Source organism: Homo sapiens, chromosome 12 (assembly GCF_000001405.40).
Source record: "Homo sapiens chromosome 12, GRCh38.p14 Primary Assembly".
In the NCBI taxonomy this organism is placed as follows: Eukaryota; Metazoa; Chordata; class Mammalia; order Primates; family Hominidae; genus Homo; species Homo sapiens.
Window position 1 is genome coordinate 80,347,060 of NC_000012.12, and position 24,604 is coordinate 80,371,663.

Sequence of the window (24,604 nt, forward strand, 5' to 3'; positions counted from 1 at the left end):
GTCCAATGACAAAGCTTTATAATTTGAATTTTTTTAACAGAACATCAGACAGTTTAATAGATGCTTCTCTTGACTTACATCTTTTTTTTTTAAATTATAATTTATATTCAGGGACACATGTGCAGAACGTGCAGGTTTGTTATATAGGTATACAAGCGCCACGGTGGTTTGCTGCACCCAACAACCCATCAACCCGTCATCTACATTGGGTATTTCTCCTAATGCTCTCCCTCCCCTAGTCCCCCACCCCCCGACGGGTTGTATGATGTTCCCCTCCCTGTGTCCATGTGTTCTTATTGTTTAACTCCCACTTATGAGTGAGAACATGCGGTGTTTGGTTTTCCGTTCCTGTGTTAGTTTGCTGAGAATGATTGTTTCCAGCTTCATCCATGTCCCTGCAAAGACATGAATTCATCCTTTTTTATGGCTGCATAGTATTCCATGGTGTATATGTGCCACATTTTCTTTATCTAGTCTATTATTGATGGGCATTTGGGTTGGTTCCAAGTCTTTGCTATTATGAACAGTGCTGCAATAAACATATGTAGAATGATTTATAATCCTTTGGGTAGATACCCAGTAATGGGATTGCTGGGTCAAATGGTATTTCTGGTTCTAGATCCTTGAGGAATTGCCACACTGTCTTCCATAATTATTGAACTAATTTACACTCCCACCGACAGTGTAAACATGTTCCTCTTTCTCCACATCCTCTCCAGCATCTGTTTCCTGACTTTTTAATGATTGCCATTCTAACTGGTGTGAGATGGTATCTCATTGTGATTTTGTTTTGCATTTCTCTAATGACCAGTGGTGCTGAACCTTTTTTTCATATGTTTGTTGGCCGCATAAATGTCTTCTTTTGAGAAGTGTCTGTTCCTATCCTTCACCCACTTTTTGATGGGGTTGTTTGTTTTTTTCTTGTAAATTTGTTGAAGTTCTTTGTAGAGTCTGGATATTAGCCCTTTGTCAGATGGATAGATTGCAAAAATTTTCTCCCATTCTATAGGTTGCCTGTTCACTCTGACGATAGTTTCTTTTGCTGTGCAGAAGCTGTTTAGTTTAATTAGATCCCATTTGTCAACTTTGGCTTTTGTTGCCATTGTTTTTGGTGTTTTGGTCATGAAGTCTTTGCCCATGACTGTCCTGAATGATATTGCCTAGGTTTTCCTCTAGGGTTTTTATGGTTTTAGGTCTTACATTTAAGTTCTTTAATCTATCTTGAGTTAATTTTTATATAAGGTGTAAGGAGGGGATCCAGTTTCAGTTTTCTGCATATGGCTAGCCAGTTTTCCCAACACTATTTATTAAATAGGGAATCATTTCCCCATTGCTTGTTTTTGTCAGGTTTGTGAAAGATCAGATAGTTGTGATTGTGTGGCATTATTCCTGAGTCCTCTGTTCTGTTCCATTGGTCTATATGTCTGTTTTGGTACCAGTACCATGCTGTTTTGGTTACTGTAGTCTTCTACCACTGAGCTTCATCCTTGTTTGCAAATCTCTACAAAGCAGGCAGAATAGTATCTTAAAATTATAAACAGAATGTGTGATTTCTCTACCTAAAATCCTTCACTGTATTTCACTTAGAGTACATTCCAAAGTTCTTACCAGGGCTGTCAATGTCCTCTATAATCTGGCCCACCTATTTCTCCAGCCACGTCTTGTGCTACACTCTTCTTGTTTGCTAAGCTCCAACCATTGTTGCCTCCCTTAATATTACAAGCTCTCTTAATATTCCAAGAGTTTTTTCTGCCAAAATGCTCTTCTTCTTGCTGTTTCCCCAGCTGGAATACTTTTTTCTTTCAATCCTTTTTAGCATGGTGGCTTCTCTTCATCTTACTCAAAGGCTTTGTTTTTGTAGTTGTTGAGATCCACAAGCAGAGAACAGGTCTGTTTTATTTGTCTTTATTCTTATGCATAGTACAGTGCCTGATATGTAGTTAGGTTCCCAATAAATGATAAAAGTGTTCATCAGTTAATAAGTAAGTAGAGGATACAGAAGAATCAGCTTTTGTGGGCTAAGTAGAGAAGGGATACTTTTTTTTTTATTTTGGACAGATTAAATCGTGTGCATCATCAGAGTAAAAACATCGAGCAGAAACTCTGGAGTGTAATTCGGGAGCTCAGAGGAGATAAGTTGAGGCCAGAGATCAGGTTGGAAGAGTTATTAGTATATGGATTTTTAAAATAATGATAATTTATGATGTGCCAGGTTTTTTTCTGTACATTTTCCATATATTAGCTCATTTAATTTTCACAGCAGTCTTAAGTAGTAGTAGTTGTTACTATTAACGCTATTTCACATATGAAGAAACCAAGACAAAGAAGGTTTAAATGCCCCAGATGGTGATAGAAACCATGGGAATGGATGAGCTTGGGGAGAGCATTTTCAGTGAGAGAACATGACCATTGAGGATGGGATCTAGTAAAACAGAATGAGAGGCAGGTAGAAGAAACAATGACCAAGTAGATAGAAAGGCAATGGAGCGCGGTACCTTTGAAGTTCAAGGAGAGAACATTTTAAGCAAGTGGACGTGCTAATGGCAATATAGGCTTCTGAGAGATCGCGGAGGGTTTAGAATATCAATTTCATTGCATTTGATTAAAAGAAGGCTATTAATGACTAAAGCAAGTATTCTGTGCAAAGTAAGGTGGTTGGAAACTGGGAGGATTTCCCAAAGACATTGAAAAGAAAGTCAAATCTTAGGGTTTTTTTCTGCATCTTCAAAAATATTTAATTTTATTTTTATATTGACAGATAAAATTGTATGTGTTTACTGTGTACAACGTGGTGTTTTGAAGTGTCTATACATTGTGGAATGATGAAATCTAGCTAATCAACAAATGCATTACCTCATGTGATTATCACTTGTGTGATGATAACACTTTACATCCACTCTCAGCATTTTTCAATAATATAATATTATAGTCAACATGCTGTACAATAGATCTCTTGGACTTCTGCCCATCAAACTGAAATTCTGTACCCTTTAACAACATCTTCCCATCACTTCAGTCCCTGGTAACCATAATTCCTTGCTCAATTCTATAAGATCAACTTTTTTAGTTTTCACATGTGAGTGAGATCATGTAGTATTTGTTTTCCTGTGCCTGGCTTATTTCACTTAACATCATGTTCTCTGGGTTCATTCATGTTGTCACAAATTACAGGATTTCATTCTTTTTAAAGTATAAATAATATTCCATTGTGTATATTTACCAAATTTTCTTTCTTCATTCATTCATTGGCAGACCTGTAGGTTGATTCTATATTTTGGCTATTGTGAATAATGCTGCAGTAAACATGGATGTGCAGACATCTCTGTGACATACTGATTTCATTTCCTTTGGATATGTACGTAGTAGTAGGGTAGCTCAGTTATATAATATTACAATCTTTAATTTTTTGAGAAACCTCCATATTGTTTTCCACAATGGCTGTACTAATTTACATTCCACCAACAGTGTGCAAGGGTTATCTTTTCCCTACATCCTCGCCAATGATCGTTATTTTCTGTCTTTTTGATAATACCCATTCTAACGAGTGGGAGGAAATATCACATTGTGGTTTTAATTTGTACTTTTCTGATGATTAATGATAATAAACATTTCTCATGTACTTGTTGGACATTTGCACATCTTTTTTTGAGAAGTATCTATTCAGTTCCTTTGACCATTTTTAAATTGGGTTATTTGTTTCCTTGTTATTGAGTTGTTTGAATTCCTTATGTATTTTGGATATTAACCCATTATTAGATGTATAGTTTGCAAATATTTTCTCGCATTCTATAGGTCGTCTCTTTACTACATTGATTGTTTACTTTGCTGTGCAGAAACTTTTATTTTGATGCAATCCCATGTGTCGATTTTTTCTTTTGTTTTCTGTACTTTGGGGTTCATAGGCAGAAAATTACTGCTCAAACCAGTGTCCTAGAGCTTTTCCTCTGTTTTTGTCTAGTGGTTTTGTAGTTTCAGGTCCTACAGTTAAGTCTTATAGTCTCTTTTGAGTTGATTTTTTGTATATGATGTGAATTAAGGATCTAATGTCATTCAACTGCTAGTGGATATTCAGTTTTCTCAGCACTATTTATTGGAGATACTTTTCTTTCCCCATTGTGTACTCTTGGCACCTTTGTCAAAAATCAGTTGGCTGGCTGTAAATGTGTGGATTTATTTCTGGGTCTCTGTTCTGTGTCCCATAGGCCTAAATGTCTGTTTTCTTGCCATTGTGTTTTTTTTTTTTTTTTGTTGTTGTTGTTTTGTTTGTTTGTGTTTGAGATACAGTCTCACTCTGTTGCCAGGCTGGAGCACAGTGGTGCGATCTCGGCTCACTGCAAGCTCTGCCTCCCGGGTTCAAGAGATTCTCCTGCCTCAGCCTCTGGAGTAGCTGGGATTACAGGCACGCGCCACCACACCTGGCTAATTTTTGTATTTTTAGTAGAGACGGAGTTTCACCATGTTGGCCAGGATGGTGTCAATCTCTTGACCTCGTGATCCACCTGCCTCAGCCTCCCAAGCCATTGGTTTTTATAGATACAGACCCTGAAGAAAAATAGATGGACTATGAAAAAATACTATTTTTATCGGATACTTTGGCCTGTGTCAGAATTTGGCATCTGAATTTAGATACTTAGTATGAGCCTGTTGAATAATGAGTTGAGAGAAAAATGGAATAAATATTGTCACATGCTGCATTATTTATATTTCAGGTGTCTCTAGATCAAAATGGAACATATTCTATAGGAAAAAAATGAGTAATTAAATTGAGGTGTGCCAAATGTTTATAAATTATGTAACTAATATTGAATATTAATAAAAGTTTTGAGAAGCATTTGTAACTTTACTTAATAAGCAATGCTGTATACCATTAGAGAATGCTTTGTGAGCTTCCAATTTAATCTATAATTTTTCAAACTCTTATTCAGTATATGGAAAAGGCAATTGTAGCCCACAGTGGATATTAGAAATAAATTTTTGCTTGGCTCCACATACTCTGTTTTCTTTTCCATCTTTATAAGAAAGATTTGTGTAGATTAGTGCAGATGGTATTTGTCTTATTTAAGTGTGTTTAGAGTGATGTTTAATATTAAGAATTTTTGAAAATGTAAAGTCTATGATGAAGTATAATGAATATTAACTTGCTACCCTTTGATTCTCCAAATAATCTTAGTCTAGCTTAGGGCTTTCAGAGAAATAAAACAATATAACTTATTTCAAGGCAAAATGTTTCTCTAGGTTTCACCGGAAGACTTTTGTGAAAAGATGTGGATCAATTATACCTATTTTTGGAACTATGAATGTGATGCACTTTCTGCATATGTGGCTCTGTGCAACAAGTTTGATATCTGTATTCAGTGGAGAACACCTGATTACTGCTGTGAGTAACTGTTAACTGAATATTTTTCCATCATAAATAAATTTCACTTTTGCAATCACTTCTTTCCTTCTTTTTCTTTTTTATCATGAACTAATTTAGTAAGCATAAAATGCACAGAAGAAGCTATGACAAACACAAGTTACATCACTTGATTTCAGAAATAAAACAGTCACACATGAAGCTCCCTTTGTGCCTTCTCCAGCCCTTCCCTTTCTCTTTTCCCTGAGAGGTAATCACTATTCAAGAGGGGCATTGCTGATTCATCGGGAATGTGTGTCATCTCCAATTTCACTAGACACTGTCAAATTGTTCTCCACTGAGATTATACCATTTATAACCCCACCATCTGAGCATTTAATTTTTAATAGTATGACTTTTTACATTCATTGACAATCCACAAGGATTTTCTAAAACATCATTTATAAACTGCTCACCAATAGTAATTTCTTTTGACAGTGAAGGATCAAACCTAAATATACAACATTTTTCTTTTTTATGATTTGGTTGAGTTATATACTGAAAGTGTATTTTGGTTATAATTCTGAGTAGACTGTTATCATAATAGTTGATTGTATATTTATGCCAACCAGACTTGGGCTGCCTGTTGGTGATATTTATTTGTTATACATCTGATAAGCGTTTCCTACCATAACAGCTAATCCTAGCAGACCCTTAGAAAATGTTTAAAAATTACAAAAAATGCAAAAAACAAACACATTGATGCCTTTGTTTCTGATTTATGGTTACAGAGTAAGTGAAAAATGGACTTTGAAGAGACTAAAATTTGCAAAATATATTTTCTAAAAGAAATCTGACATTTCTTTCTTTTACTAGAATTTAAATAAGTTACTTTTATCATTAGCAAATTTTGTCTCCTATTCTTCAAAGCCCTGAGTTGCCCAGAGGGGAAGGAATATCAACCCTGTGTGCGACCTTGTGAAGCAAGAACATGCCTGAACCAATGGTTCTATGGACACACTTCCTGTTTGAATCTAAGAGAAGACTGTGTGTGCAAAGTTGGAACTATTCTTCACAGGCCACATTCAGCCCAGTGCATTCCAGAGAAAGAGTGTGGTAAGACACAAAGTACAAAATGACTTCTCAGGAATCCGGCAAACAAACAAAAACATTTTTTAGATATTGCAGAGATGTGCTAACAAAGGTTTATCAAAGACAGCCTCTGTTGGAAAGGAAATGAGTTTGTTTGTAGTTTGATTTTAATATGATTTCAAGAGAAGTTAATTGTTACAAAAGCTTCAGTGGTAATATGTTTTAATCTTTATATCTGCCCATAGTAACTGAGAAAAAGCATGGGAAATCAAGAATTAAGAGTGTGGATTATGGACTGAACTCAAAATCAACTTAATTCATGTATTAGTTGTTCATTTTTACTCCTATGAGTCTCAGGTTATGCATCTGGAAAGTGAGGAAAATAATAGTACTTATAAGGTTAGTGTGGGGCTACATAATTTAGTAGAAAGCATTTTGCATTTGACATGGTGCCTTGAGAAAGTAAGCATGTAAGAAATGGCAGATGGTACTATTATCTGGGTACTATGATTTGGATGTGATTTGTTCCCACCAAAACTCATGTTGAGGTTCGATCCTCCGTGTGGCAGTGCTGGGAGGTGTGGCCTAGTGGGAGGTGTCTGGATCATGGGGCCACTGCCCTCATCAATAGATAATGCCTTCTCAAGGTTGTGAGTGAGTTATTGCTCTTGTGAGACTAGATTAGTTCTAGCAGAAATGGAATCTTTCCCTAAAGTACAGATTGTTATAAAGGGAGTTTCCTCTTCATATTTTATTCCTCTTCACATCTGTCCACTTCTTTGACCTTCTGCCATAGTACAAGGCAGGAGAAAAACCCTCACTGGAAGCTCAGTAGATGCTGGCGCCATGCCCCTTGAACTTCCCAGCCAGCAGAAGTGTGATTAAATGAACCTCTTTTCTTTATAAACTATCCATTTTCAGGTATTCTCTTAGAGCAACACAAAATGGACTAAGATACTGGAGGAACACATCTAGTATTTGTAATTATATTTTCGAACAATGTTATTTTGATGCATTGTCTCCATGGTGGTGGCAGATGAAAAAGTGCAAAATTGAGATGATTGCAACACAGGAATTGTCAGTCATAGGCCTCTTCATTACGATCAAAAGAAAATGAATTGACTAATAATTAAAGAAAAAGGCAAGGAGAAGTGAAATGCATATATAGTTTCAGAAACAAGCCAGTGTTTGCCAATATAGAAAGTATCTGTGGAAGACTTTGAGAATATACACATGTGCTTATATTTGTTCTTTAGAGATCTATGAGATTTGGTTTGATAGCAAATAGGATAAGAGTTCACTGGAGGCTGGGGATATGGTTGATAAATACATTTATCATTATTATTCCTTAAAAGAACTACTAGATGGTCATATTTATCATAAAATAAAACTTTTACTTAAAAGTAATAGTCACTACATAATATTTTGCCTGATTGCCTACTTTTTACTTTTAGATTTTAAAGCAGAAATATTTTGAATTTTCATATGATGTAAATGTTATATGAGGTAGGGACTACCTTGTTTTCTCATCCCACTCATTTTTAACAGTTACTGTTTTCAAACTAATTTAAATTTATATTATTGAATTTGATTAGGCTAAATAAATTATATTAACAGGACTTAAAATGTGTCAAAAATAATAGATCATTTCATTTATAGAAGAAGACATACAGATTTACAGATGGTTGTAAAAGGAAAGAAATTTTTCTTTTACTTTTTTCTTTTCTTTCTTTCTTTCTTTTCTTTTTTTTTTTTTTTTTTTGAGACAGGATCTACTCTGTTGCACAGGCTTGAGTACAGTGGTCATAGCTCACTGAGACCTCAAACTCTGGGCCTCCAGTGATCCTCCCACCTTAGCTTCCTGAGTAGCTGGGACTACAGGCATGCCACTACACTTCGCTAATTATTTTTCTTTTTGGTAGAGACAAGGTCTTACTCTGTTGCCCAGGCTAGTCTCAAACTCCTGGCCTGAAGCAGTCCTCCCTCCTCAGCCTCCCAAACTGCTGGGATTATAGGCACGAGCCACTGCATCTGACCAGGAAAAAAATATTTTCTGTGGACTAAGTATAAACTTTCATTAAAGAAAAATGTAAGTTAGTGGTGATGAAAGAGAAATCTGAGAAAAACAATAGACTTGTGACACATCATTATGTCACTGGGCCATGTCACAGTCTGAAACCAAAACATGGTGGCATGATTTATTTTAGTGCCCAGGTTTTGAGTGTTATAATACTGTTGATCTTTTTAAGCATGCACTGATAGTGAAGACCAACCCCGCACTGCTGGGGAGATTTGGAATGGGGGCATTGATGAATGCACTCTATACAAATGTTTGGAGAATGGAAGCATTATCCCTATAGAACCTGACTGTGATGAAGAGCCCACGCCAGTTTGTGAACGAGAAGCTGAAGTTGTCATGGGCATCATTGATAAATGGACCTGCTGTTCAAAGGAAGTTTGTGGTATGTATGCAGAAGCCTTATAGTCAATTGATTCCACAAAATATGTTGATATTCTTTGTGAAAAAGCAGAGCATATATAATGCTTTGTATTTTTAAAAAAGGGCCATAAATGTCATTTTCTCAAAGCAAGTTTTGTTTCATTACAATTCTGTTGAATACACATGAAAAACTCTGGCTATTCACAGTTAATAACACTCAACAAAACATGAGAAGAGGAAAGATCTGGAAATCTTTGATGTATGAATCAAGGGTGAAAGACAATAATAGAAAAATGTCAAAGCTGCTGCATTTTCATATATGGCCCACTTTGTTAGATGAGTGGGTTAACTGCAGTGTAAAAACATGCATAATGAGAGTCATTTCCCGTCTTTGAGTTTCCTGTCTTGAGTTGGCAGTCATTTCCCTGCTTTGAGTTGGCAGATTTTAGTTGTGTTCACTAATATTTTAACAGTTTTTCTTATTTATAGGATGTGACACGACTTTGTGTGAAACTAGCATTCCAACATGTACAAATAGTCAAAAATTGATTGTTGGCCACAGTCCTCTTTCTTGCTGTCCACAGTACAAATGTGGTAAGTAATCAATATAGAAAATTAAGAGTGAGGTTCATTGTTCATTCAGAACAGTGAATTAGATTCTCATTCATTGTGTCTCCAAGAGAATGATTTATTATAAAAGATTGCGGACTTGTCTTGCTAATTTTTTAAACCTGGTATATATCTTTCATATATATGTATATATATATATGATTAAGAACTTTAAAATAAGTTATTTATTACTAAATTCAAAGAGAGGTAAACACTATGTCATTTTTTTATTATGCTATACAAATTTTCTAATGTAATTTTGTTTCTGCAGAATGTGACCCATTGAAATGCCCCAGTATTTCAACACCAGAATGCAGAGAAGATCAATTCATGATTCAAGTTCGACAGGAAGAACCTTGTTGTTTTTCCCCTTTTTGTGGTGAGTATTGTAGAGATAATTTCTTGGAAGAAGAGAAAGGATCTAGGAAAAAAATCTCTTATTTGATGTGAATTTTATGAGACTGATGGCAAGCAATATTCTGATGTTATAAGAATTCAACTGAATGAGAACTCTTGTAAAGAAAGTATGACATTTTAAATGACTAGACAATAATAATAAATACCTTCCCCCATCAACAAAAACTACATACATCAGTCCAAATATGACCAAGATATTTAAATCAAGCTTTTTAAATAAGGCCAATACCTTTTTTCGAAGAAAAATTTAGCACTGGCTTTCCTTGAAGAACCAACTTGAATAATGGGCTCTGCTAAGACTTCATAGGACGTCTTTAAAACTTCATGTCCTGTATATCATGTTTGAGGTATGATGATCTCAAAAAAGAATGGCAGAAAGAAAGAGTGACTGGAAAATGACTGGAGCTAAATATTCTGCCTGGTGAACTGAATATTGAAATATAAAGAATTCTCTAATTTTTTTTTTCAAATGAATCATTATATCCAAGATTGCTTGGTGATTAATGTAGGTTTCAGAAGTAATCAAAACAATTTCTTTGCATCAGTTAAGATTCATTGACTGCAAGTGGCAAAACTGATGGATTCTGGCTAGCTTTAGCACAACCTGTTATTGGAAGAATCTGGGGAAGTAGGACCAAAATGAAGCAGAACAGTCAAGCCCTAGGAAGAAGAGAAACCAGCTGTTCTAGGTAGAAGTCACTAATGATTGAGCCAACTTTATTTTTTTCTTCAGTTGATATGTCTCTATATATGACTCAAATTCCATCCAAAGGGATTCCGATTACTCCTATGTGGGTTGTTTCTACAGAGTGGCCTGGTTGAGGCACCTTTAAAGATAGTCACTCAAAAAGGTGTGGGTGGTGCATTTCCTCAAGGTCATTCAGAGACTAGTTATCAAAGGTGGGACGGCATGTTGAAGCAGCCCAAAAGAACAAACGCCTACTACATTTTCATCCCTAAATGAGAGTAATCAATGATAGTGAATTAAGAAAACATAAATATAATAAATAAACAAGTGACATTTTGATTCTAATGAGAACAAATTACCTAGGAAATCTGAATGTTCTACCTTTCTGGTAAGATGGTGTTCTATATGTCACTGTGCTTGGAAAGCATAAGGCAATATACTCAGACAGTATTATTGTTTTTATGGCCAAATAAGGAAATATACCTCATGTTTCTTTTACTATTTTCTTAAACAAAATTGATTTGATTTGTGTATGGTAATTTAAACTCATATTATAATTCATGGTTTTTAGCTCAGCTGTGATTTTTGGCTTCTTGTTTTACCTTAGTTTGTGAATCTTGCACCAAACCTGTTCCACTATGTCATGATGGGGAATTTCTCACAGTAGATCTTAATAGCACACACTTCTGTTGTCCTCAGTATTACTGTGGTAAGTGTATATTAACTATTCTAAAATATTTAGATGTGTCCAATGTTTAAGAAGCCCAGTGCATCTTAGTTGGCTGTTACATCAGACCCTTTTTCAAAGTTTTTCATTTGATGAGCTATCCTAGCACCAGTACTCTTTTTGTACCTGTTTATATGTCAATTGTTTTATCTTCACCAACACATGGCAATCTGACGGTGGGAGAGGTAGCACTTGGGAAATATGAATCCATGCATTATTGTAATGGCAGTGAACTAAATGGTAGGTAATGAGAAATGGCAACTCTATAAAATTCATCTTTACCCATGTAATTTTTCTTTTTAGTATGTGAACCAAACCTTTGTCCTATGCCATTACTCAACTGTGCAGAAGATATGAATCTTGTGAAAGAAAATGTATCTGGTCAATGTTGCCCAACATGGCACTGTGGTAACTAATTTTCATATTTTAAGGTTTCATTATAATAAGTTAATTATTTTGATCAATGTAAATATGTTGATTTTTGCCTTTTAGAATGTAACTGTGAAAACCTTATTATGCCAACTTGTGAAGTGGTAAGAACACATATTTTGATTGACTTGTCATATTTATTTAAATCTGTTTATTCTTCCTTTATCTCTCTCATTTCTAAATTCTTCTTAGAGTTAATAAAATTACCCACATTAAATTGTACTAAAGTAGATTAAAATAATGTGCTCTGATATTAGGAAATAGTCAATAAGTTATATTTTAGTTGAGATAGGAAAGTACAATACATTATTTTTTAACTGCTGATAGAATCTGCTAATCTTATATCTACTTCAGTTCCCTGTATTAAAATGAAGCAAAATATTGAAAAAAATTATCTTAATATTGAGTGGTGTTGCTAATGATTCTTTAAGAAAGTGAGCTAATAATGCCTCTGTTGTAGAGGAGAAGGGGGTATAAACATGGAACAGCCTGTTTCTTCTTAAGCGTTATCTGCGAACATGTAAACCTTATAGAAATTTCAAATATTTAATTTTTAGAAATAACTAGGATAACTCTGGTGTCACTTATTTAATCCTTAAATGTATCCCGTGGTACTTTACAAGTCTTTGTTTTCTTTAACTATCTTCATGATATGCCGATAAGGCTTGAGAAAGACAATATATTCCTGGCGCTATTTATTAGAGAAGACAACGTTTTATTTCACAAAGACATTTTACTTTTCTTTTCCTTCTCAAACAATGTGTACACTTAGAGAATTCTTTCAGAATCTCCAGTTCAAAGCTATATTATGAAGAATGAATGAGGTACTTTTTAAAGTAAAAGAACCCTTCCTAGGATGACACTGTTTTATTTAAAAAGCATTAATCCAACATTTGCTTTAATGATGCTTTCATCTATGGTTTACAGAGAATGTTTAAACTTTACAAATAACTTTCATAATAATTCTGTCATTTGATTATTTTGTGTGTACACTGTATATACATCTACACAAGAGTAGAATTATGATGCCATGTATTTCTCTAGTCCTTCACAGTTACATAACATATTCAGTATACTATCTTATTGAATCTTTACCAAGTCAGCACTTTAGCTCATTTTATAAGTGAGAAAGATGAGGTCTAAGGGAATAAATTATTGGCTAAGCTTTTCAGGGTTCTAACCAAGGATTGCTTTTTGTGTGTGTATGTTTGCATATTCCTTATTCTTTCTACTTTGCCTTAACTCTTTATTTCCCTTAGAAAATGTAGCCAAGGCACAACTTGAAACAAGAATGAAAGAGAATGTGAGACTGCCTTGTTTCTACCTTTCTCTAGCTGTGGCTCACTTAGGCAGTAAATAAATTAATATAATTTAAATGCTTAGTGTCTGACATATAGAAAGGGCTCAATCAGTATTAGTTATAAGTATTAGTTTTTTTGACACATTAAAACGTAAATTTCTTAATTTTTTTTCCCTTTACAAGTCTGACCTAGCCCTTTTCTACTTTCTATCTTTTTTCTGGGACACATAGGTTGGTTTGTTTCTCTCACTCCCTCTCTCCCTCTCACTCCCCCTCTCTCCCCCTCTCTCTCCCCCTCTCTCCCTGTCTCTCCCCGCTCCCCTTTTCTCCCCCTCTCTCCCCCTCCCCCCCCTCGCTCTTTCCCTCTCTCTCCTCTCTCTCCCTCTCTCCCTCTCACTCTCCTTTCTTTCTTGTCTTGCTCTGTCACCAGGCTGGAGTGCAGTGGTGTGATCTCTGCTCACCGCAACCTCTGCCTCCCGGCTTCAAGTGATTCCCCTGCCTCAGCCTCCTGAGTAGCTGGGACTGCAGGCGTGTGCCACCACGCCCAGCTAATTTTTTGTGTTTTAGTAGAGACGGGGTTTCACCATGTTGGCCAGGATGGTTTCAATCTCCTTACCTCGTGATCTGCTCGCCTTGGACTCCCAAAATGCTGGGATTACAGGTGTGAGCCACCGCGCCTGGCTGGGACACACAGGTTTTCTAAAGGCAAACTAGAACCAGTATACAATCTTTGTGTTTAATTTTATTTTTTATTTATTTATTTTTAAAATGGACAAATATTGTATATATTTATTATGTACATGTTAATTCAAAATATATATACATTATGGAATAGCTAAATTGAGTTAATTAACACATGCATTACCTCACGACATCATTTTTTTGTGATGAGAACACAGAATCTATTATCTTAACAATTTTTAAAAATACAATACATTGTTACTAATGATTGTCATTATGTTTTATAATAGATCTCTTGAACTTATTTCTCCTATCTAACTGAAATTTTGCATCCTTTGGCCAACATGTCCTCAAACCCTGCTCCCCCACCCTCAGCCCTGGTAACCACCATTATACTCCCTACCTTCTGTGAGTTCAACTTTTTTAGATTCTGCATATAAATGAGATTATGTGGTATTTGTCTTTCTGGGCTTGGCTTATTCCATTTAACATAATGTCCTCCAGGTTCATCCATGTTGTCTCAAATGACAGGACTTTCTTCTTTTTCAAGGCTGTATGGTATTGCATTGTGTATATATACCACATTTTCTTTATCCATTCATCCTTTGGTGGACACTTGGGTTGATTCCATATCTTGGCTATTGTGAATAGTGCTGCAGTAAACATGGGAGTGCAGATATCTCTACGATATAGTGATTTTATTTCTTTTGGATATATACCCAGTAGTGGAATTGCTGGATCATATAGTAATTCTATTTTTAATTTTTTGAGGAACATATATACTGTTTTTCATAATGACTATGCTAATTTACATTCCCACCAACAGCATGCAGGGTTTCTTTTTCTGCATCTTCACAAACACTTGCTATCTTTTGTCTTCTTGATAATGACCATTCTAACAGGTATGAGGTGATATTTCATTATGGATTTAATTTGCATTTCCCTGATTACTAATATTAAGCATTTTAAAATATACTTCTTGGCCATTTATATGTTTTCTTTTGTAAAATGCCTATTCAGGCCCTTTGCCCATTTTAAAAATCAGCTTATTTGTTTTTCTTGATATTGAGTTGTTTGAGTTCTTTACATATTTTGGATATTAACCCATTATTTGATGTATAGTTTTCAAATATATTCTCTCACTCTATAGGTTGTCTCTTCACTCTGTTGATTGTTTCCTTTGCTGTGCAGAAGCTTATTAGCTTGCTATACTCCCATTTGTCCATTTTTCTTTTGTTGTCTCTACATTTGGGTTCACAGCCAAAAAAATCATTGCTGAGACCAATATCCTGGAGCTTTTCCTCTATATTTTCTTCTAGTGGTTTTATAGTTTCAAGAATTACAGTTAAGTCTTTAATCCCCTTGGAGTTAATTTTTGTATGTTGTGTGAGATAATGGTCTAATATAATTTGTCTGCATGCGGAAATGCAATTGTTCCAACATCATTTATTGAATAGACTATCCTTTTCCTGTTGTTTGTTCTTGGTAACTTTGTCAAAAATTAATTGGCCATAATTCATGGATTGATTTCTGGATTCTCTATTCTGTTTTATTGGTCTATGTGTCTGTTTTTATGCTGGTACCATGCTGTTTTGATTACTGCAGCTTTGTAGTACATTTTGAAGTCAGGTAACATGATGCTGCCAGCTGTGTTCTTTTTGCTCAAGATTGCTTTGGCTATTTGGTGTCTTTTGTGGTTTTAAGCAAATTTGAGGATTGTTTTATCTATCTCTGTAAAAAATGTCACTGGAATTTTGACAAGGTTGCATTGAATCTGTAGAGCAATTTGAGTAGTATAGATATCTTAACAATAAAATTTGGGGAGCACATTAAAACTTAATTTCTTAAATTATTTTGTTATATTTGATTACAAATTAAACATGATGCTCAGAATGTTAATCACATTATAGAGATCATTATGAAGAAGTTTCCAGAGATGGCAACCATCAAGAAAAGCTTGGAAGAATGTGATAGGTTAACAATAATGGATGAAAGCAGTTGAACTATTTCGGACAGGGGCTAATAGAAACGGAAGTAAATTCACAAAGCTATGAGGTAATAGATGTATGCTGAAAAATAATGACCATAAAACCCTCTCTCTCACCTAGAGAAATAGCTAACTGAAGGAAGAATGAGATATAAAAATCTATACAAATTGGTATATTTGGGGAGGGTTTTATTTTTTATTTTTATTTTCTAGAGACAGAGTCTGTCTCTGTTGCTTAGACTGAAATGCAGTGGCACAATCATAGCATCATTGAACTCCTAGGCTCAAGTGATCCTCCCGCCTTGGCCTCCCAAAGTGCTAGCATTAGAGGTGTGAGCCACTGCACCTGGCCAAGAGGGCTTTAAAGGCAAGGCTGAGGAATTCAGATTTTATTTATTCAATTATTATTTTCATTTATTTCTTCAACCAACATTTGTTGAAGATAAGTTATGGGCAGTCATCATGCCAGACACTTGAAAAAACACAATCCTACCCTGAGGAGCTCTGTGCAAATTTTATATGATAGGAGATGGAAAGAGTCCTGTATAGGATGAAAATCATGATGAAAATGGTGTTTGAGGGAGATGTTTCTATTTGTGCATAGCAGGATATGAGCACTAAAACATTAGAGGGCAGGAGATCAGCAAAGAGACTGGTATAGCCATTTACGAATGAACATCTTCACTATTGTGAGGTTGGTGTGAATTTAGGAGGGCAAAATGAAAGACTGGCCTTTTGTAACAAGTTGAACAAATGTGTTGGGGGTTGGGGAGTGGGAAGAGAGAGAGAAAGAGAGAGAGAGAAATTGATTTAAAAACTTGAAGGTTTCAAGTCTTGCACACCAAGAATCCAAGATTACTAGGTCCTTGGACAAACATTACAATGGCCAGTGGAGCAGCTGAGAGTAGAGGTCCTGGTATTTGACTTGTAACCAGCCTCATTCAGAGCTCCTCTTATTTTTTTGGCCTGGAAAAAGCAAAATAGCATCTTGAGTCATTTCAACAACTTCCAATGTAACAAGAAAAACCTAGCCTTTCCTCCTATGGGATTTTATACTTCCTGTGTTCTAGATGCTTTGAAGCTTTTTGGAGTAGCAGTCTCTATGTTCATACATTAACCTTGGTCTGGTTGTGACCTTAGCTCTGTTTTTTATTTATTTATTTATTTTTTCCCAAGTGGATTTCTACCAGTCTCTACTTTCTCTTTTCTTGTGTTTTCCCTCCCCAGCATTTGTGCTAGATGCTGGCCCATCTAGCTTATTTCCAACTCAACCCTCAATGTCTGAATATTAATTATGAATCATATTTTGATATTCAGTATTCCAAGAATTTTAAAATGACTTTTATATTATTAGCATTGTGCTAGACACACAGAACGTAACTAGTAGCTTTAATATCCTTGAACATCTTACCCAAATATACATAACCCTTCATCCATGATGATCTAGTTTTAACATTCGTGGCTTTACACAAGCATTTATCTGACTCATTGTTCCTGAGTACTCACTCTGAATAGTGGCTAATGTTTGTTTCAGTGACTAAGGTGATTTTAAAAAATATCACATTAGTTTGTTCACATAGACGAATGTGTTTCAACCTGAAAAATGTATGTTAGGCCTTTGCATTTTTTTAAAATAATAACTTTATTGAATTAAATTCACATAACATACAATACATCCATTTAAAGTGTACAGTTCAATGGCTTTTAGTATATTCACTGAGTTGCACAACCATCAACACAATCAATTTTAGAAGAATTTCATCAATCCAAAAAGAAACCCTGTACCTATTGCAGTCGTTCCTCATTTCTCTCCAAACTCTCCAGCCCTCAGAAATCTCTACTCTACTTTCTGTCTCTCCATGTATTTCTGTTCTTGGTATTTCCTATAAAGAGAATTGTATAATATGTGGTCTTTGTGTCTGGCTCTTTTTACTTAGCATAATATTTTGAAGGTTAATCCGTGTTGCTGCATGTGTCACTACTTCAGTCCTTTGTTGTTAATAATATTCCATTGTATGGATATACCTTGACATTTATCCAAATGTCAACATTTGGATATTTATCTTGGACATTTATCCAAGATGACCAACAGCACATGAGAAGATGCTTAACATCGTTAAGTATCATTTAAATACAAATCAGAACTATAGTGAGATACCACTTCACATCTTGCCTGAATATAAATAACCCTCCATGTATATTAACCCATTATATTAACTCACTAAAAAGACAAAAAATAACACATTTACAAGGCTGTGGAGAAATGGAAACCCTTATACACTACTGGTGGCAGTGTAAAATTGTGCAGCTGCTTTGGAAAACACCTTGGCTATTACTCAGAAAGGTAAACATGGAGTTATTATATAACACAACAATTTCACTCCTAAATATGTACTGATGAGAAATGAAAACATATGTCCACATAAAAACTTATACTCGAATGTTCATAGCAGCACTCTTCATAATAACCCAAAGTGGAAGCAGCCTAAAGTGATTTTGTTGCAGACTTTACAGGAGAGGGATGTTCATTTGGGAGTAAAAATTACCATATTTTTTCAGGTAAATATTTAGAATTGGTAGAGCAATTAAAGAGGTATTTCCTTTTGGTCAAATTTGCAACTTAGAATAAAAGCATAATTGAATACGTGGATAAGATCTGAAAGGAAATGAGCATAGAAGAGAAGGATAGAAGATTTAAGCCTAAGCTCAAGGAAACAGAGTTAACATTATGGCTTTAACTATTAAAAAACAGGTACATATGTTACCTAAAAGAGTTAGTGTAAGCCTAATGCCATCTTTTTAAAGTATTTGGAGTAGTCATGCACTGGAAGAATTCGATTTATTATTATTTTTAGCTCCATTATTCTAACATTTATTTCCAGTCCCATTGGAATTGTCTAATGACTAAAGTCCTGAAATATCAAATGAATTAGTGTCCATAAGACTACTTTACAACTTACAAGGCACTATAAAAAGCAAGACATTATTAGCTTATGAGGAAAAATGCCTTTTATGTGAATGTATTGGAATCATTTATTTATGTCAAGAATAAAATTCATTTTATTACTGATGTCATATGAAAACTAAATGCATCCAGGAAAAGTTGATGCTTTAGACACAATTCTTGAAACTTTAAGCCTGGTCCTGTATTTGGTGGGAAGAATCTTTGTCAGTCCTGATAGGGCAAAGTTTGAGCATCTGTCATAGTAACAATGTACTAACAGCAAAATGCTCTACAGGACTTTCTGTGTGTCAGTCCTATTCTGAACTCTTTACATATATTGATCCATTTATTTCTCTCAACAATCCTAAGAGGCAGGCTGTATTATTATCCCCATATTGCAGATAAGGGAAGTGAGGAGCAGATTGATTAAGTAATGTGCCCTAAATCAAAAAGTTAGTAAGTTATGGAGCCAGGATTGGTGCAAAGGCAGTTCCATTCCTAAGACTGTGCTATTAACCACTGTACTATACTCATTGTGTTGCTGATGTGTATACTATAGCAGCCTTGTGCAGATGCAGACATCAGAACCCTAGGCTGCCTTGGTAGAGCAGATCAAGAACATTTCCATGAAGCAAAGTTCCTAAGGTTGGCAAATGTTGTCTTTGATTGCCCTACAGAAGCTCAGAATCAAACAATATGATTTTAAAGTGTCTGGCTGTGTGATAAGGGACTTATTAGATGTTATCACTGAGTATGTGTGTGTGTGTGTATATATATATATCAATTGTTTTATATATATAGGTTATATATATATATATATATAAAATAAGCTAAATGATAAGTAATAGTAGTATATTTTCAATAGGGAGAATTTACTGCAATAGACCATAACTTCCAGAGTGATTGTGGATGCATACAGTATCTCTGTGGTAACTATGTCTTTTGTAACTTTTAAATTATAAATGAATATCATTAGTATCTGTTTTTTCACTATTAATAAGTTAAAAATCTCATTTTTGAGACACATACATTTTAAGCCATTTGCCAGTATTTGAGTATAAAAATGTGTTATTATGTTTCAATTTCTTCTTTTGTAATATCTCTAAATGTTCTGAGAACTGAATAACAGAACAGAAATATAAATATTTTTTCAGAGGCCTCAGAGAATTTTACAGTGGGCATTAGGCTCTTTTTAATATGTCTACATTTAATTTAAAAATATAGGCATCTAAAAAGTATGATGTTATGCCCATTATATTAGTATTATTATTATTAATGTATTTTTATTAAGACAGAGTTGCTCTGTTACCCAGGCTGGAATATAGTGGCCCCATCCTAGCCCACTGCAGCCTCAAACTTCTGGGCTCAGGCAATCCTTCCACCTTAACTGCCTGAGTAGCTTGTACTACAGACATGCACCACCATACCCAGCTTTTTTTTTTTTTTTTTGGAAATGGGGTCTTGCTATGTTTCCCAGGCTGGTCTCAAACTTCTGGTCTCTAGCAATCCTCTCACTTTGGCCTCACAAAGTACTGGGATTATAGGCATGAGCCACTGTGCCTGGCCAAGAGCTCATATTCTAAACTTGCTATAAAGTATAGCTTTTGGAGGAAGTTCAATCATTAAACAGCAGTTGATTTTATAGATGAATTTTTATTTTATGTTAAGGAATAGTGTACTACATTTTTAAGTAAATATTGGGCCATTAAAATACGTAAATATGAAGATCTTCATTAGTTTTGAAAAATTGGCACATCGCAATGAAAACATAGACTCAAATATAAGTTCCAACGATGGATTAGTACAAAACTCAACAGTATATTTTCTTATTGACTATGTTTTCTGTTCTTAGAAAAGGATGATGTGTGTGTATTTCAAGAAGTATCAGTATTGAATCCTGGACAATCCATGATAAAGTATTTGGAAGAAGACTTTTGTTATGCTATAGAGTGTCTGGAAGAAAAAGATAACCATACGGGCTTTCACACTCTGAATTTTACACTGGTGAATTGTTCAAAAAAATGTGATGTTGTAAGTATTCCTTGTAATTTATTCTGGTGAGAGTTAATGCATTCAAAAATGGCAGAGTTATAGAATTTGAAATGGTGAATACTCCATTAGTTTAAAATATATATTATATAGTTCTTCAATAGTCTACTATTTTGTAATATATCAATAAAACACAGACTTTCACTTTCCTGTGCATAACCTTGAACTTCAGGAGTCTTATTATCTACAGCTTGCCAGGTTGCCTTACCTGAGGTTGTTAAACCTGCTTGATGAATTTGGCTGTTAGAAGTAAAGGTTAACATCTATCTCACTTCTAATATAACCATATAAAGTCAATTATTATTGGAAGCTTCTCATATTCAACCTTAGAAATCCTTACAGTTGTCTGGAAAGAGCTTGTAGTTATGTTTGGAAGAAATAACTCTCCAGAAGTAATTCATTAAAAATATTGATATGGTGTCGCTAATCTAATATCATTATATGCAGCACCAGGTATATACTCCATCCCCAAGTGATTATGGTTGTTGTGGTACCTGCAAAAATGTATCCTGCAAATTTCACATGGAAAATGGAACATCAGTTGTATACGCGGTATGTTTCATGGAGAGTAATGCTCTGTGCTATTTTCTGAAGGAGGAGTTCTTGAGTCAAAGTTTGGAAAATGTCCCCCCCCACACACACTGCACTGCATACAATAAACACAGTACACCTACAGCACACAAGACACAGTTACATTTGTTACATTTTGAAGTATCTGATAATTTATGTTGTAAAGAAAAATGCTTAACTTGTGACTCAAACTTATTTTATCATAGATCTTCACTCCTTTTTTCTAGATGTAAGAAATAGGCTTTGGGAAATGCTGATCGTGAAAGAAAGGAACAATTAATATTTTTATGTGACAGCTGATTTTTGATTTCAGATAAATTAGATATTACTGTTTCTTGAATTTGAATATTTACAGATCTTTTCTAATTGAGGTTCATGGAAGACCTTAAGCCACACATAAAATTAGAATCTAGAGACAAGAAAATAGTCAGGTTCATCAGAATTCTTTACTGATCTGTAAGGAATCTTCAAGCCAAAGTTTGACAACTACTATTTTTTTTTTTTTTTTGCAACTTACAAAAATATAATTCTATCTCTTAAAGCAAATTAACAGAGGTATCAACAGATTAGCATAAATATAATCTATTACAGAGATAGAATTCTTTGGAATAGACAATTGACATTTTTCTAACCTATATATAAAGTACAAAAATACACTTGATATGGTGAGAAAGTAGTGTCAAGGAGGAAAAAAATATATATATGTATAATACACACATATATTTTTATTATGTACAAATCAGTATTTGTTCCTTCACCCTTTCTTTTCAAAAATAAATACTTCATTTGGTTGCAAATGACATTTATAAATTTAACTCATGAATTTCTCAGCTTTGACATAATTAAATATGCAAACAAATTAGAAACACATATTTTTTTAAATGCAAAGACAAAAATACCTGAATCCAATGAGCTTATTATGTTTAAAAATATCTAAGAGCGTGTAATGTAAGGTTTCATGTCTTTAAAGTGCCTTCTCCTTTCCCAAACTGTCTTCATTACTGCTGAAAATCCTTTAAGATTATATCTATAGATTGGCCTGATACTTGATTAAACAGGAAAGCCTGTGTTTTCCCAGGTTAAATGGTTGACTATTTAGGACATGCTTACACTTTCCTTAAGTGCTTTTAAGAGTGTAGCAGTTACTGTTCATCTGAAAATAACCATAAAGTGTCAACATCCTGATTCAGAACAGGGGTAGATGTTTGAATCATGAATAGTAGTAAGAATAGAGTGGCAATAAAAAGCCTTATGATACAAAGTGTTTGCTTGCACAGAATTAAGTCAATTTGTCCAGCAGCACGAAAAGTAACTTGAGATTCAAAAATGTAGCCTTCTGCACCATAGCTTGCGGCCTGGGCTGATGTACAAATTTATTAAGAGAATGGCCTTAATTAATTTAAAGTAAAATCTATGAGAAATTGAGAAGGCCTAGAACAACATGCCCCCACCATGGCCAACCGTCTTGAAATAAAGTAGAATAAAATGAAAAAGAGACGAATTTTCCATCTCTTTTATGAATTTTCCTTTTTGCCTAAATGATGAAGTAATGCTGACATTAACTACTTTTATTTTTTAAATGTGAGTTATAAAATAAAAATATAGATTAACAATTATTTCAACTGACTTTTAAATAGAAATTCTGAAATCAGGAATGAAATGGTTATTATATTTAAATATTTCTTGAAAGAATAGGGATAAATTTTAAAATAATGTAGGGTATACACAATTAGAATCACAAGCCAATAAACACTGTTATTTAAATATTTCTTTAAACTTTTTGGCAATAAGGGAGTAGAAGGAAGAATAAACACGTCTCAAGGAAGGAGGTATATAAGTAATATGATTTGTTGTTTTATAATTAGTGAGGAAATATTAGAGCAAGACCTTTGACACTTGGTTAAATTAGATAATTTTGTAGTAGAAACAGATACCTATTTGCTTCTTCACTCTCTATTGTTTTATTTCACATTTACCTCTCAGTTCTAGTATGAAACCTAGCATATACAAACACACTATACATATGTATGTATTTTTATCATTTTAGATAAGTATACACTATACACGTGTATGTATTTTTAATCATTTTAGATAAACTTAGGGTCATTTTCAGATGGAACATTTTGTGTCACAAGAAGCCTTTGCATCTTGATTTGACTTTTTATTCAATAGAATAATATTGTACTTAATAAATACAGCAGATTTTAATATGCTAAATAGTAACTTTCTTTTTGATTTTTAGGTAGGGAGTACCTGGCACTACAATTGCACCACATATGAATGTGTTAAAACTGATGAAGGAGCAATAATTCTGAACTACACAATGGTCTGTCCCCCTTTTAATGAGACTGAATGCAAAATGGTTTGTACTTTGTTGTATCTAAGAAAATTTATTATTATATAATTTAGAAAATACACATTGATATTTTCTAAGGTCATACTTTCATTGTGGCTTATACATAATGGCGAATGTGTTATTTTCATGAATGAATAAAAGCTCTGTTCTATTTTTCCCATTTGAAATTTTGAGTTATATACGGCGTTCCAGGTAATTCTGTCTTGAATAGATACTGTGCAATCGTTGGGTTTTTATCTGTAGATCCAAAGATTATAGAAAAATCATTTGGTCAGCAGACTTGGCCTTCCCTTTAATATGGATTAATAAGCTAAGGAATCAGAGCTTGGCCAATTTTCTTTCTTAAACAAACAGTGAGATTTTTGATGTCATTCAACTGTAATGCATGCTGGCCTGTATGATGTTTGCCCTAGCTTTTCTGGTCACAGGTCACTGAAAAATTTAGTACAAGTCACAGGATTGCCTATTCTTATGTTTTGCTCTATCAATTTCCCTATTCTTTCAGAGAAGAGTTTACTGGAAAAGTAGATTTGTGAACATAATATAATTTTTATTTTGCAAGATTTTTGTAGCTTTATTTATTTAGACAATAATAATTCCTAATGAAAACTAGGCTTTGTTCCGTTGTATAGAGAAATAGTACAGTCTAGTCTCATTGATTTTTTTTCAGGATGTACCTTTTCAATGATGACGGCTGGCTGGCTAGCTAGATATAACACGTACTAAAGTCACAGAATTTCAGCTCTGGAAAAAACTTGGGCATCATCTTGTTTCACAGACTAATATTTATAGCGTAAATCATTCTCTTATTTCAATTGCAGTTAGTAGGTTGCTAAAGCAATTAGTAATTCTTGTAAAAATTTAGTCTTAGACAAGAGTCCTTCCAAGGAAGGAAATATTTTTTCATAAAAACTATCAAAGAAAAAGATGTACAATTTTAACATTCAGTTATATTCAGAAACTCAAGTCAAATGGAAGTA

At 34.2% G+C, this 24,604-nt stretch overlaps 1 protein-coding gene across 7 annotated transcripts in view; it reads left to right on the forward strand.

Moving 5' to 3' along the window:
- OTOGL (otogelin like) overlaps positions 1 to 24,604 on the forward strand; it is a 281,344-nt gene that overhangs the window by 247,523 nt on the left and 9,217 nt on the right. For all 7 annotated transcript variants that reach the window (NM_001368062.3, NM_001378610.3, NM_001378609.3 and 4 more), the window contains 12 exons: positions 5,236 to 5,377; positions 6,266 to 6,451; positions 8,677 to 8,889; positions 9,357 to 9,461; positions 9,748 to 9,855; positions 11,189 to 11,290; positions 11,612 to 11,716; positions 11,801 to 11,841; positions 19,515 to 19,578; positions 20,502 to 20,680; positions 21,146 to 21,250; positions 23,511 to 23,630. In NM_001368062.3, the coding sequence (NP_001354991.2) occupies positions 5,236 to 5,377; positions 6,266 to 6,451; positions 8,677 to 8,889; positions 9,357 to 9,461; positions 9,748 to 9,855; positions 11,189 to 11,290; positions 11,612 to 11,716; positions 11,801 to 11,841; positions 19,515 to 19,578; positions 20,502 to 20,680; positions 21,146 to 21,250; positions 23,511 to 23,630 (1,470 nt within the window). The remainder of the gene's footprint in view (positions 1 to 5,235; positions 5,378 to 6,265; positions 6,452 to 8,676; positions 8,890 to 9,356; positions 9,462 to 9,747; positions 9,856 to 11,188; positions 11,291 to 11,611; positions 11,717 to 11,800; positions 11,842 to 19,514; positions 19,579 to 20,501; positions 20,681 to 21,145; positions 21,251 to 23,510; positions 23,631 to 24,604) is intronic.